At 42.9% G+C, this 15,707-nt stretch overlaps 1 protein-coding gene across 12 annotated transcripts in view, besides 1 other annotated feature; it reads right to left on the bottom strand.

The window, feature by feature from the left end:
• Nucleotides 1-4,252: 4,252 nt before the first annotated feature.
• IL1R2 (interleukin 1 receptor type 2) overlaps nucleotides 4,253-15,707 on the bottom strand; it is a 36,585-nt gene continuing 25,130 nt past the window's right edge. For 7 of the 12 annotated variants that reach the window (NR_048564.2, XM_006712736.4, NM_004633.4 and 4 more), the window contains exons 5-9: nucleotides 12,985-13,159; nucleotides 10,548-10,610; nucleotides 8,129-8,264; nucleotides 6,544-6,686; nucleotides 4,253-4,571 (exon numbers count right to left, since the gene is read on the bottom strand). Coding sequence is in view for 10 of the 12 variants with exons in the window: in XM_006712736.4 (XP_006712799.1) it covers nucleotides 4,405-4,571; nucleotides 6,544-6,686; nucleotides 8,129-8,264; nucleotides 10,548-10,610; nucleotides 12,985-13,159 (684 nt within the window). In the remaining 2 variants the exon portion in view is untranslated. Of the gene's footprint in view, nucleotides 4,572-6,543; nucleotides 6,687-6,821; nucleotides 6,929-7,970; nucleotides 8,265-10,547; nucleotides 10,611-11,543; nucleotides 12,122-12,984; nucleotides 13,160-15,707 lie in introns of those variants that run through there. The other 5 variants (XM_011511808.3, XR_923024.3, XM_047445800.1 and 2 more) reach the window with 5 other exon arrangements.
• Nucleotides 11,623-11,816: a silencer, noted in NCBI's record as "fragment chr2:102637443-102637636 (GRCh37/hg19 assembly coordinates)". NCBI's record gives its function as "represses an EF-1alpha promoter that drives an FKBP-Casp9 reporter gene in an ReSE screen in HepG2 liver carcinoma cells {active_cell/tissue: HepG2}" and the evidence as "EXISTENCE:reporter gene assay evidence [ECO:0000049][PMID:32094911]".

The following is a 15,707-nucleotide window of genomic DNA, read 5'->3' as shown; positions in this document are numbered from 1 at the left end:
CCTTTGTAGGGTTGGGGGTGAAAAAATTCACCTTCAGAAAGTTAAAACAACAGAATCAACAAAAAATAGAGGAGATAGGCCACTTTAAGAAAAGAAACCACATTGTTTCACTTGTCCATCTGTTTGTGTGTTCAAATTGGACTTAGGGACACAGAATTAGGTTAGTCATAATCCTTGGTTCAAGACACAGATTCTATATTGGTCCCTGAATAGCTTGTGTTTTTTTTTAATCTGTTTGTTTAATAATAAAGTAAACAATCACAGTCTACTACCTAACATGAGATCTAGAACTTAATGAAGTTTATGTTTTCCTAATCCATCCCAACCCTGATGTAATCACTATCCAAACAAACACACACACACACACACACATCTATATTTAAGAGCATATATATGACAAAAACTACATTTTAACCGTGTGTGTGAATATATATGAAGATGCTTTCACATATTCGAGAGAGAGCATATTAACTTTAGTTGTTTTCACTTTATGTAAAAGGACATCATTCTAAGAAATGTTTCTGGGACTCATTCAATAATATATATCTAAGATTCATCCATATTGTTCCATGTTGTTTTTTACTGTAGTGCATTTTATTACTTGTAAGAGCTACACATTCTCTTGTCTAGCGGGTATTGAGTTTTTGCTGGATTGTATTTTACTCTTTATTATGGAAGTTTTCAAACATATACAAAAGTAGAAAGAATGATATAAGGAAGCAGGGTGCAGTCATCACCAAGGCCAACAGTTATCAACATTTGGCCAATCTTATTTCATGTATTCTCCCATCCACCACTGGATAACTTCGAAGCAAATCTCACACATCACCCATAAAAAATTTAGTCTGCCTCAGCCAGGCTCGGTGGCTCACGCCTGTAATCCCAGCACTTTGGGAGGCCGAGGCTGGTGGATCACGAGGTCAGGAGATCGAGACCACGGTGAAACCCCGTCTCTACTAAAAATACAAAAAAAATTAGCCAGGCACGGTGGCGGGCGCCTGTAGTCCCAGCTACTCGGGAGGCTGAGGCAGGAGAATGGCGTGAACCCGGGAGGCGGAGCTTGCGGCGAGCTGAGATCGCGCCACTGCACTCCAGCCTGGACGACAGAGCAAGACTCCATCTCAAAAAAATAAATAAATAAATAAATAAATAAATATTTAGTTTGCCTCTTAGATAATAACCTTTTTTGAATGCAGCAATGCAAATATCACACTTATTCCTTAATATTAGCATAAATCCAGCACTCAAAATTCCCCGATTGTCTCGCATCTTTTCTACCTGTGTGACCCCACACTTCTGAAATAGTGGAGGGGAGGAAATGCGTAACCTGTGAGGTCAAGGCAGAGTCTGAAAGCCGATGGTGGTTCTCCTCCGGCTGCAGTCAGCTCCTTTTCTGGGTCATTGCTGAAACAGCCAGAATCTAAAGCGGGGGACTCCAGAGAGCACTGGAGAAGTTCGAGGAAGGAAGAGAGATGCAAGCGCGTGGCCCCAAGCCTGAAGATAAAGAAAAGGCAGAAGCAGTCAAAGAACCCTGTGCAACGTCCTCACCGAATCCTCCTTCTCAAACCTCACTCTCCTCTCCTTTCCGGTTAAAATCTAATAAGGTGTTCAAAGGCCTCTGCCGGCCCCTCCGTACTTCTCCCTCCCTGAATGCTTAGAAAACAGAAGAAGGAAAGAGGAGATGATAACAGGAAAATAGAAAAGCGAGGGTCAAAAGTTAACTGCTCAAAACCGCCTTCACCTAAACCAGGCATTGGCAAACTTTTCCTGTAAACGACCAAATAGTAAATATTCTAGGTTTTGCCATCTCAACTACTCAACTCTATCTTCAAAGAGCAAAAGTGGCCAAAGACAGTCTGCAAACAAACAGGCAAGGCTGTTTCCTAATACTCTTAATCCACAGAAACAGAGGGCAGGCTGCATTTGGCCCACAGGCTGTGGTTTGTCAACACGTAGTCCAAGTACAACAATTTTTATTTCTGTCTATTCCTCCTATGTTTTTGATTATTAAACAGTTACTATAGTTGAAATAGAAAAATAGGAAAAATGGAAATATAAAATATAGCTAAATAGCTAAGTTAATTTGGACTAAGTGATTATCCCCATTTTTCAGATGAGAAAATTGATGTACTTTGAGATTAAAGGATTTGCCCAAGATCACAGAGGCACCATGTGGCAGTGCTTGAACTTGAACTCACAAAGTCTGCCTTCAAAGTCCAAGTTTTTAAGTTTTCTCCTTGTCTAGATGCAAACAAATGTCAATATTGTAACCATAAAAATTGTACAAAACAATGTATAATATTTCCTTAACACTGTAAACATTTAAGTCTTACAATTTTGATAATTTGGTCATTATAGTATTGATCATTATAATTGATAATTGCTGCATAATTTTTCATCATTGGGGTAATAAGTTTTATTAAATTATTTTATATCTCTAATGATTTTATTTTATTAAATTATTTCCTAAGCTAAATTCCCAGGAGTAGTATCACTGGGCATCTCTCAAACCTTGTTGTTATGTACTGGGGAAGAGAGTGCTGATTTGTGGCAACTGCCAATTTCTGTGGTGTAAAGACTCCACAATGGCCACAGATTTTAAGCTACCAACATGACATCACTGAACAGAGCCAAGAAGAGAGGCACATCCTGGGCTCTTGCAAGAAGATGCAAGCTGGTCCAGCACCCAACTGACTTGGCTCATGTTGCCTTTCTTCTTCCCAGCACCAAATTATAAATTGAATTAAAGTGTGAGAGTGTTTCATAAAAACTTTTAAACACTTGATAGTGTGTGAGTGCACTGGTATCTCAAATTTGCTCTAATTTACATCCCCTGGTTCTTACTGAAAGTGTCATTTTTCCATGAGTTCCTTTATGTGTGTCTCTTCTGCAATCCCCTACTCACATTTTTTCATCTGTAGGGTGATGATGCTACTATAAACTGAATGTTTGTGTCCTCCCAAAATTCATATGTTGAAACCCTAACCTCCAATACAATGGTATTAGGAGTTGTGGCCCTTGGGAGGTGATTAAGTCAGGAGGGCTGCCGTCTATTAGCCAGGAAGTGGGCCCTCACCAGACACCAAATCTGCTCGCACCTTGATCTTGGACTTCTCAACCTCCAAAACTGTGAGAAATAAATTTCTGTTGTTTACAAGCCACCCTAGTTATGGTATTTTGTTGTAGCAGCCCAAAAAGACTAAGACACATGCCTTTTCTATGACTTTGAATAACTCTACACATGATAGTTACTCATTCCTTGAACTTGTCTGACACAATTTTGTCTAAACCTTGCTTTTGTTATTTTGTTGTGCAGAAATTATAATGTAATTAAGCCTACTCACCTTTACTCTTGCAAGTCTTTTGGTAATGAACAAGAGAGAGTTCATCCCATCTTCATTTATTCTGCAAATATTCATTAAATGCCTGCTTTGAGGTACTGGAAATACAGCTGGGACCAAAATAATCTCTCTGACCTCATGGGTCTTCCATTTGGGTGGGAAACATAAATTGAAAATCAACAAGCAAATCTATACTGGAAGGTCTGGTGGTGATAAAAGCTACAATGGTACAAAGCAGGGTGAGGGGACAGAGAGGAAGGAAGGTCCTCTCTGGGGACCTTCCCTCTGGGAAGGTCACATTTGAACAGAGACCTGAAAGGTGGAGTCACCAGCCGTGCTGATTTTCCTGCCATTGGAGTTTTTTTTTTTTTAATTGAACTCATTTATCTATCTGGATTTTATTTTTGGTATATGATATGAAAGAGGCTCTGGGTACATTTTATTCAGTTTGTCTACAATTCTTTTAATGCCCTTCCTTCTATTTTCAGACATGTTGTTATGAAGTTGGGTCTAATTCTCAGTTCACTAATACATTCCAATGTGTGTATTTTTAATTGCTATTTTTTGGATAGCCCTTTCCAAAAAAGTTCACCAATTCTTGCTGATTCTTCTGCTTTAGCACTAAATTATTCTTTTCAGTCTCAAAATGAACAACCAGCTTCCTGAAAGGCAAACTATGTCTTAACCATCACTGTATGTACAACATCTCCCATAGAGTCTAGTCAAAATAGACTCATAATATGTTTTTGTTGAATGAATGTCAAAACTCATGTAGATGTTTTCCACTCTCATGCAGGCCTAAGAGCACCTCATTCTGTTAAATAGGTCACAAGTAGCAGACAGCTACTCACACCCACTCACAGGCACATCTACTGTTGTCACTGATTTTTAGGGAAAAAAAAAACAGAATGTAAGACTTTAGTCCTTTACTACAAAGCCACTATAAATGTGGCACCTTTGGTAGACAACTGAGGCAAAGAACAGAGTCCCTCAAAAAGACACAGCCACTTCCATAAGAGAAGACGTACGGAGTTTGTGTTTGAATTATTTCATTCCATTTATTTCACTTGGGATAGGATTGAAAGTCTTGATGATGAGGCCATAGCACAGTCAGACCATCTGCTTTTCCAGTTCTGTGTTTGCACCGTCTGTGCATCCATATTCCCCCCAAAACCAAGAAGGCCAGTGAAAGTGGGGCCAGCACAATGCCCCAGGAGAACGTGGAGGAGGCTGTGGGAAGAACAGAGTCACATCAGGAGCTGAACAGTCTCTCACTGTACAAGAGGACAGGGCAATGCAGGTGTACAAGATAAGAAAGAAATTGGAGTTTGTTTTTCTTGATAAATGTGCATTGATTTTCAGAAAGCACATCCCTCACACCAACATGGAGGATATTTGAGAGTGATGTCTGTGGCATTAGAGAAACGAGCGTGATAGGGCAAAATCTGTTAGAAACATCGTAGGGTAAGTGGGCAAGTGCTGAGGGTTTAACTTTGTTCCAACAGTGGGACACTGTGCGTTTAAGATGCTGTCTGTTTATGTCACAGTTGGCCAACTGTGACAGAGCCAGGAACAATCTGCCCTTTTCTAATGAGCATGGGTGTCATGAGGATCAAAGGAAGTAGCAAAGGAAAATAAATTTTGAATAATGGAGCTGCAGGGGCCAACACGATTGCTTGGGTCCAGCTATTTTATGTTCTGCTCCTTGGCGTCTCTGTGTTATGGAAATACAGGAAGAGACTCTGAATAAAAAGTTAAAAAGCAAATGTGAGAACAGAGTGTTATCAGACACATTGTTGATGAGACTAGAATCCTGCATTTTTAAGCTATTATCTATCACAGTCTGTTTAGTCATCCAGGAATCGACATGACCTCAGCCTGTTGCTCCAGAGGATTCTCACATTTTAAAACCCCACAAAGATTAGAAATAAGTTCAGCTGTAATATTCTGGGCAGCTGTTTGAATACACCTCTCAGTCCTGGTGAAAGACTTACAGCCTGTGTTCCCTGGATCAGTCACGGCCAGCCACATGCAGGGACAAGGCTCATGTTATGGAAAATTTTAAAGGTTCCCAGCATCAGGGCCAGACAAACCACAGGTTCCTTGGGCTCACTAATCTGACCCCGAGAGGGAACATTCTGATTTTTGTGGGTAAATGTGTACAACCACCATCTCTCCCAGCCTGCTCATCTGGAAATGATCTGAAACGCCACCCTTCACATGTGTGCCCTCATTCTCAAACTTCACTGTGAAAGGAGCTTTTTGTGTCACAGGCTGCAGCCTCTCCCTAGGAATATTTGACAGGGTGGATCTGGAGTAAGTCCTGAGATCTGTGTTTGTGACCAGTGGCTCAGGTGAGTGTGAGGCTGGTGGTGCACAGCGCACAGTTGGAGGAAAGTTGGGTGCCATTCCCTGTCCTGAGGCTGGAACACATCATTGGCTTTCCAGTTTACACTGTGTTTGTGGCTGCCTCCCCAGCAAAACATGGAGACCTGGAGCAATTTGTATTTATGTTATTGCTGTAAGATTGTCCACGAGCCATCACTGAGATGCTGGGAATCACTTTGGCTTGCCTGCCATTAGCTACAGGCTGTCAACAGAGACTACATTCAAGGCAGCTCTCCCTCCTGCTCAACAATTAAACATTGATATGAAATCAATTTAATCAAAAATGATAATGTGGGTTTTCCTCTTCTTCTTTTTAAATGTCCTTAAATGAACACTGGGTTGATTTGGCTGTAGCCTTGTACCTATTTCCGGTCATATAATGACTTTGACCCTAAAGCTGCCCTGAACCCTGGGTAGCTCCCAATCCCCAGCTCTTAGAGGATGAAGTTTCTCATCTTCAGGATAAAGAACAATCCACCCTCTTCTAGAGGCCATGCGAAGACAGCTGATTAGTGACCCAAGGCAGAGCCACATGCAGACAGAGTATTTCGAAGTTTACTGTAGAACCATTTCATCCATTTTCCAAAAATCAGCTTGCTATTTAAATTTTTCATTTGAGTATAATCTCCCAAAGTCCAGCCTCCACCCTACCAAAACTCTTTAAAAATGGGAGGTTTCTTTTCAGCTCTCCACTAGCAGACAATGCAAGGGAATTTCTATGGAATCATTTGGAGAACAAGTAGATTTGTCTAGTATCCATGGAACATTCAACATGTTATATTCTCCTATAGTGCTCCCCAAAATACATACATACCTTCCTTGACTGTGGTGCGTAGTGTCTGAAAACTCAGGGTATTATGGACAACACATTTAAAATCCATGTGCAAATCCTCTCTTGTGACAGGATCAAAAATCAATGGCACTTCAATGTAGTTCTCATTATTTTCTGAATATTCCCTGAGTTAAAAAAACATTCACTTAATTATGATTGTATCGAATGCAAGCTTGTCTTTCACAATGTAGACATCTAAACACTCTCCTTTAGAAGTACCCATTGCGCTTTTATTGTTTTCAAGTTTCATAAAGTTAGGAGCTCTTGCCACCATACTTGTGATTCATTTGGGACAGTTTCTAAGCCTGTCCCTGAAGGCCTTAGTGTCACTGAAGTTGGCGGTCACTGGCATCAAACAGTTGTTACACTACAGGGTTAGATAATGGGGAAGTTCATCTTTTAAGTCTCTTAATGAACAACAACAACAAAAAAAAACAGTCATGGGAACAGAAACGTCTAGTTTGAGGAAACTTGAGTCCCTCACCATTAAATCACTTGTATATTGAAGGGCAGGGAGTTTCCAGGACTCCAGCCCTCAGTGGTGCCGTCTCTTCTCATCTCTACTGCTGACTCTCACTCTGGAAACCTGCAGACAGCCCAGGGGAATGGCTGTGGCCAGGATAGCTGCCATTTATAGTGTTAGAGGAATCTGTAGACACCTCACTACTAACTGTTAGTGTGAATAAAAACACAGATGAGTGGATCCACTAGGAATATTTTTGTTCTATTTGTAGGGGGAATATAGGTTCCTTTAAGTAAGTGGATCATATGAGTAAGCTGAGATGGGCATTTAGTTGTGGCCAGGTCTTTTGCAATGAGAACTTGCAAGCACATGATTGTGCTACCCACACATAGTTTTTATCCACTAAATTACATCCAGAAAGATCTTTTGTGATAAGTCTTTCAAAAAACACAACCATTTGGCAAGCAAAAGCTCAGGCTAATTCAAAGTATCAAAACTGTAATTTTAAAAAGAGTTACAATTTGGAATGTTGAATGGTCTCCCTCACAGGCAACAAGTTCCCACTTACAAAAGGTCTGATTGTTCGAGTCTCAGAGTAAGAAAACATTTTCTAGAGATGACTGCTTATGAGAACTGAATTCTTTCTTTTTTTTAATTATTAACCTCCCTTAGAGATTGTGGCAGCCCACAGCTCCCTGAGAAACAGAAGAGGTACTATAGATACTGTGGCTAGGTCTCAGGGTCTTTTTAAGGGTTTATGAAAATGTTTGATAGTCAGGTTGCAGAGTGGAAAATGGAAAGATATGAACTCCAAAATATTTTTTAACTTGCGAAAATAAAAGGATCAATGTTTAATGAAACAGCTACAAAATGCAACATCAATACCAACATGTCAACTGCAACTCAACTTTTAAGTATTTACAGAGAAAGTTTGATTCTCAAGATAATTTTTAGCAAAATACAATTTTTTAAATTCTAAACATCCAACAGTTTGGAATCAAAAAAAGTAACTTTTAATGTGGTATGTGGGTCATAGTGATAACTGTCTCCAAAAGGAAGAGCGAAACCCACAGAGTTCTCAACAGAAGACCCTGGCCCACTTACTGGCGTGGCCCCTCGGTCACGCGGCCTCCCGGGTAGGCGCTCTCTATGTGGGTGTCATTGGCCGTCCACCACAGCATGGTGGTTAAGGGTGTGCCGGTTCCCAGAAACACCTTACACGGGATTGTCAGTCTTGACCCTGTGGATGGCAAGGCACAGCACGTCAACTGCAGAACCAGCACCTCCCACCCACCAGCAAACCTGAGCCCTGAGTCCCTCCTCGGCTTCTCAAACACCCCTCACCACCCAATTCTTTCCTTGGTAGAAAATTTAGTTTTCTCAAATGATTCTGTTCACACAGAGCTTTACTGTTTACGAAGTACCTCTGGTTCCTACAACTGGTCTTCATGGCAGGCAAAAACCAAGAGGCACCTGAAGTTAAATGGCTTCACCAGGGCCCCTGCGCTCCCACGGGACATGCTAAATTCAAGCCGACTTCCTCTGCCCCTCACTTCAGTTACCTCAGAAAATCCAGATCAATGTGTGGATTCTTTCTCTTTGCCTGAGGCTGGTCTTGGCTCTAATGTTTCTCCTGGGAACTCTCCATTCCCAGATGACTCTGACTGGGGATCAACCCTTCTTTAAAAACTCGTGTTTTTTTTGTTTTGTTTTGTTTTGTTTTTGAGATGGAGTCTCGCTCTGTCGCCCAGGCTGGAGTGCGGTGGGGCGATCTCGGCTCACTGCAAGCTCCGCCTCCCCGGTTCACGCCATTCTCCTGCCTCGGCGCCCCGAGGAGCTGGGACCCGGGCACCCGCCACCACGCCCGGCTAATTTTTTTTGTATTTTTTAGTAGAGATGGGGTTTCACCGTGTTAGCCAGGATGGTCTCGATCTCCTAACCTCGTGATCCACCTGCCTCGGCCTCCCAAAGTGCTGGGATTACAGCCATGAGCCACCACGCCCAGCCAAAAACTCTGTGTTTTCTATAGATGGTGCCCTCTGCAGTTGTGCAGTGTGATGTACTGGGTCCCCCTGCCTCAATCATAGGAAATTATTTTTTTTTTCATTCACAAAGAAGAGTAGAAGGAAAAGAAGAAGAAAACCTTCTCACTTGTTTTTTCCTCGTGGGTGATATGGCTCCCTGTGGTGTGTCTTTTAATGCACCTGGCCCCACCACGGGTTGAGAATGCCAGCCGTTCTCCATCCTATGCCACTCCTATGACCTTAAAGATCTTCCTCAGCCGTAACAACCTACTAATCAGTGTCACGTGGCCCCACCACCCATTCCAGTGCATCCAAAGCAACTGATTGGGAACTGGGCCTGGAACTTGGCTGGGAAGCCCCAGGGAGCCAGAACACTGGGGCTCCAGTAGGTATCACCCATGTGCCCATTGCCCCAGATTTCCAGGTGGTTGTTCCTAGAGCTGCAGCCATGGGGACTGCACTGTGGCAGTGGCAACCCAAGTGCCAGCCAGCAGTCCCAGCAACTGCACAAAAGCCCTCCTCCTCTATGGCCTCCAATTCAAATTTAAAATTTAAACCAGCACTAAACAAAAGGAAAAAGCAAATAAATTGTTTTTTAAAAGACTGTGCAGCCAGGGTTTCATAAATGAGTAACAGACCTACAAAAACACTACCCAGAAACAAACACATAAAAGGATGCAGGTTTTATAGGCACACAGACCTGAATCTGAACTCCAGCCTGACTCTGAGCATGGCCTTTTGGCCTCCACTGAGCCAACGTGATGCCCTGGGTGGCTTTTTCCTTTTGGAAAATTGAGAGAATAAAACCTACAGGGTCTATGTTGAGATTGAATGGGATCCCATTGGACATAGTGGATCCTCAATAAACATCAATTCCGCCCCACCACTAGCATCAGTTGGTTGTTAGTACAGTACACTTACGTACCCTCACTGGCCACTAGTGTGGACCTGTGCTGGCCAGGATGGACTGTACCACATGGAGTGAAAAGCAGAAAGCCCCATTGGTCATTTTCATGGCACCATTCAACCAGCTTACCAGCTCTTCTGGCAACAAGAAACTGACCACAGCTGAGCCCACTTTACAAATGGAGTCTTAGAGAGAGGCAGAGCGCCAGCCAAGTTTTGGTGATGTGAATTATTTTAAATACACTGAGGGTGCTGGCTCTGCCTGGGGTTCATGCTGTTCATCTTCTCATGCAGTTGATAACTGCTGCCAGAACGTTCAGATTTTCACATTCAGATTTTTATAGGTAGGCTTTGCATGAAGCAAAGTATACCTGTTTTCAGATTATGCCATTTCTAACCAAACTGGCCAAAGGGAAATATTTCCTCACACTTGTTATTCCAGCCTCACACACTGGAGTTCTAAGGTCTCCACCCAGGCACATTGCACCCAAGGAGCAGGTATGATCAGCAGACGCAAGGGTCCCAAGCCCCCTGCATTGGGATACCAGGCACCCCCACAGGTGCGTGGAATGCATGGTCCTTGTGGGCCTTACCCAGAGAAGCTGATATGGTCTTGAGGGGGGAAATGATCACAGGAATGGTCTCTTCTTTTTTTTCTGAGAAAGATGTAAGGAAAAGAGATTCCGTTAGGAAAGCCTTCATTTGACGCTGTGGTTCAAGTCATTGTTTGGCTAATCAACTAAGTTATCCTTTCCAGTATGGCCAGTCATTATGAGAGTCAGGCTTTGTCTGGCAAAGGAAACAGGCTCTCTACAAAATCGAGCATCCTTGGCCAATGACTTTCCCAGCAGAGCAATTACTGGAAGAGGCCACAGCCAAACACACATTCCGCTGACAGGAGGTCTTCAGTCCTTGCTCTATGATAAACAATTAACCATTTCCCTCCCAGACTTCCTGAAAACAATCATGTTTATGAGGTCCACGAGATAGATTTTCCCCGAAACTTGACCTGACCTAAAATACCTTCTCCACCTCTCCAAAGTGCCTGCCACAAAATACTCAAGACTCAGTTCTTCTAGAAAAGGCACAGGGCTCAAGAAACACCTATTTGGAAGGCTAGTGTGTAACCTGGCCTCGGCCACAGAGGCCTTGTTAATTGAAGAGATAAACTCTCTGGAGAGGCAGAAGTGGATCTCCAAGGGATTAGAGCCAACGTAAAGAAAGGAGGTGGCCGGGTGCAGTGGCTCACGCCTGTAATCCCGGCACTTTGGGAGGCCGAGGCAGGTGGATCAACAGGTCAGGAGTTCGAGACCAGCCTGACCAACATGGTGAACCCCTGTCTCTACTAAAAATACAAAAATTAGCTGGGCTTGGTGGCGTAAGCCTGTAATCCCAGCTACTCAGGAGGCTGAGACAGGATAATCGCTTGAACCCGGGAGGTAGAGGTCGCAGTGAGCCGAGATCGCGCCATTGCACTCCAGCCTGGGTGGCAGAGCGAGACTCCGCCTCAAAAAAAAACCAAAAAAAAAAAAAAAAAGAAAAGAAAAGAAAGAAAGAAACGAGGCCCCTGAAATGAGCAAAAAGGACACCTGGGGGGTGAGGGCTGTGAGTTGTCTCCACGACGGGCCTCATCATCCTCACTTCCACGAAACAGCATTTTGAAATCCTGACATGAGTACACATTAGACAGCATGGCAGGACAGCCTGAGGGGCAGACGGCTTTTCGACCACGGCCAGACGCCTTTTCCTCCCCTCCTCCAAGTCACGCGCTGCCCTATGGAGCTGGGGCATCCAGGGAGAGAAAGAAGCCTCCAGGATCTCAGTGCTTCTTAGACTTGAGGGTCCCCAGCATCACCCGGGGGCTTGTGAGACACAGATGACAGCCCCCAGACTCCAGTTTCAATCAGTAGGTCTCCACGGGACCCGAGATTTGCATGTCTGTTGAGTACCCAGGTGATGAGGCGCTGCTGGCCCAGGACCACCCCTTGAGAGCCACTGAGATCCTGGGAGGATCACAACACAGACAGGCATGTAGGGCGGCTGCCCCCTAGTGTTCATGCACAGTATCGCAGAGACAGGACCGTGCCGGTCCACGGAAAGCCTCAGGAGACCTGAGTCAGTGGCCTGTCCAGAAGCAAGGAGCTGATATGAACGAATCCTCACAGGACTGTAAAACAAACACAATCAGGACACCTCAGTCCGTGGGAAAATGCGGTGCAACTGAATCTCTGGATGCTCTGTGAGAAAAATATATTTTCCCCTTATAGACCAATTATTTAAACTTAGCGTGTCTCTGAAGCTCTCTGAAATCCCCTCAAAAGACCCCAGTTGTGATCATTATTCAGTATAAAAAACAAAGAAGTGTGGCCCACTCTCCAAGGCAAAGTCCAGGATTTACACATGGTTACACCTGTCTCCATGTCCGGCACACAGTTGGTACGGAGTAAATGTTGAACAAATGTGAAACAATAGCCAATACTGCTCAAAACAGCATTTTCAAACGAAACTCCTTTTAATCAATGGCAGCTCTGACTATTTGAAATATTGCTATTAAGGGCAGCTAGACCCACCTTAGGGAAGACAAATAAAAGGCAATTTCCACTGGATGTGCAAGGCTAGCTCTCTGGTTAGAATACCCAATAAAATTGAAGTATCCTAAAATTGAACATAAAGTTACAGCATGTGGTGACCTCTAGCCCTATAGGTGCAAAGCTTCACAGGACACTTTCCAAGGGTACCTTCTACAGAAGCCACTGTTTGACTCTCTTGAGTGGTGTGTTTTAGCCTTCATCTTGCAACCCTATAACCTTCCCAATTCGTTCACCTGTTCTCAGAACAACACCCTGATTTATACCTTTCAAAGTATCACACACGTCTTATTAACCTGATGCTTCAGGAGAGCTGATGGATCTGTTTTCCGTTATCCTTCATTCCAAAGACCTGCAAGGAATTCTACGTGCACCGTCATTTGTTCTCTGCATGCTTGTTATTGAACCAGGATAGATAGGTGCCTCAATGGCAAGTACTTACTCTTGATGCGTAGCTCAATACTCCTAGTGATGTTGTATTGCTGGCCTTCATGGGCAAATGTCAGGACACAGCGGTAATAGCCAGCATCTTCCAGGGCCACATCGTGTACGAGTAAGTGAGTGGTCCCCCTCACACTTAGAAATTTCTCATTGTCTTTATCCAAAAGAAGAGAATCCTTAAGGGAAAATGTTTTTTTAAGTTGACATTATACCAATATACATCTCAAAGGCTATGAATTACATCATCATTATCAACCAATGTGGGATTTGCAATCCAAGAATTGTCCTGGTATTTACTTTGCCAATTTTGTACTTTGGGCATACGTTTGACTGTATTATTAGGGGAAGGAATTTGTTAACATATAAACAAATAAAATTGCTAGATTTGGTTAACTACAATAGTTAGAGCATATTTGTCCAAGGGGAAAAAAAAGAGACGAACTCTTCTTTGACAAAGTAAGCCATCTAAAATACAAATATGTTTATGTCCTGACTGCTACCTTCAGGCCTTAGGAAGTATCTGGGAAGAGCACTATAAATCGTCATGATGACCTGGACAACAATGCTCAGAAGAGATGACGTTGCAGTAATTACTTTAAAAAGCATTTCAATTTTGTGAGTCAGTAACAGAAAAATCTCTGTTATAAGAAAAACTAAATAGGGGAAACGAGTCCACACTTTTTATATGGACACAAGGTTCTCTGGGGTCTCTGCAGAATAGAATCCTCAAGATCAAGGCCTCCAGGAAATAGAAAGAGCGGAATGGGATTTCTAAAAACACCCTAATGAGCACACAATGTTCTCAGGGACATCACTTTCAAAATCATGATTATTCAACGTTTGCAACAGTCAAATATAACCTTGAGTCACTTCAGAATCTTACTCCGAACGAGAACACAGATAAAATTGAAATTGCCACATGGCTCATGAAGTACCACTTTAGAACATATTTAATTGAAAGGAGATATTTCATTGTTCTAAGCATGAGTAGTCAAATATGAAAAATGCCAAATAGAGCCCAGCACCACAGTCATTCCAGTGGTGTATGGGAACTGGCCTCCTGGGTTTGAGTTTTGACTTCACCATCTACTGGCTGTGTGATCTTGGGAACATCCTTATGGGTCCTTAACTGTAAAAAGGGGGGATATTTACAGTTCCTACTTCATCGGGTTGCATGTCAGGGAGTTTAGAACAGGCTTGGATATAGTACATGCGCAGTAATAGGTATCATTATTATGAAGGGAATAAATATTACTAAGCATCACCATGACATCTTTGTCCATGCACATTTATTGAGCACCATTTATATGTCAAGCACTGCACCGGGTGCTTCATACACATGATTCCATTTAATCTTTGAAACAATCCCAGGTGGTGAAAGTTATTAATTGCCACTTTACAGAGGAAACAGGTTCGAGAGGTGGAGTCACTCGGCCACGGCTGCACAACAGATCAGAGAAGGAACAGAGTTTCAAACCCAGACCCATTGACGCCAGAGCCTGTGCTCTTTCCTCTCCAGGTAAAAACTTTCATTTGTCCTCTTTATGCTTTTCCCAAACCAAAAGAGAATGCATTCTAGGCTGGGCTTGGGGGCTTGCACCTATAATCTCAGCACTGTGGGAAGCTGAGGTGGAAGGATCACTTGAACCCAGGAGTTCGAGGCCAGCCTGGCCAACATGGTGAGACCCTATCTCTATTAAAAAGAGAGAGAGAGAGAGAATGCATTCTAGAGCTCAGCCAGCTTATTCATAGGAGCTGGCTACTTTCCTCTACTTTCAGAAAATCATTTCAAAGTTTCTAATATTAAATCAATATCCTATATAGAGATGCTGTAGTTACAAACCAGCCAACTACTTAACCTATTATCAATTAAAGGGTTAATTCTCATTAATGATTAAGCCAATAACTGTACTTTTCAGTATCAATCTAGGGTCTCTATCAGGAGTTGACCAATGTTTTCAGGAAAGGGCCAAATAGGAAGTATTTTGGATCTTGGAGTCTGCAGGGTCTCCATCACAACTAGGCCATGTGAAAGCGGCTACAGACAGTACTACAACAAGAGGATGTGGCTGTGTCCAGTGAAACTTAATTTACCGACCCTGAAATTTTAATTTTATGTGATTTTCACATCATAAAATATCCTTCTTTTACTTTTTTTCCAACATTTAAAAAAGTGACAACTATCGTTGGCTTGTGAGCCATTCAAATCCAGGAGACAACTTGATTCCAGGGCCCAACCATGGTTTTCCAACCCCGGTCTACATAAGCAATATCTAATGACAATATCTGATGTTCTCACTAGGAGCAATGAGCACATCAAATAACATCTATTCAACCAGACAAGGGAATAAATTGTGTTCATATTTGCTCCCTTAACCCAAAAGTTTGCTATCATGTGCTTTTTTTTTTTTTTTTCTGAGATGGAGTCTCACTGTGTTTCCCAGGCTGGAGTGCAATGGCGTGATCTTGGCTCACTGCAACCTCCACCTCCAGGGCTCAAGTGATTCTCCTGCTTCAGCCTCCCGAGTCACCAGGATTACTGGCACCCACTACCACGCCCAGCTAATTTTTTATTTTTAGTAGAGATGGGGTTTTGACATGTTGGCCAGGCTGGTCTCAAACTCCTGACCTCAGGTGATCTACCTGCCTTGGCCTGCCAGAGTGCTGGGATTATAGGTGTGAGCCACCACGCCCAGCTGTCATGTACTTTTTAAAAAAACTCCT

Source organism: Homo sapiens, chromosome 2, assembly GCF_000001405.40.
Source record: "Homo sapiens chromosome 2, GRCh38.p14 Primary Assembly".
NCBI lineage: Eukaryota > Metazoa > Chordata > Mammalia > Primates > Hominidae > Homo > Homo sapiens.
This window is presented reverse-complemented; position numbering and strand designations above follow the sequence as displayed.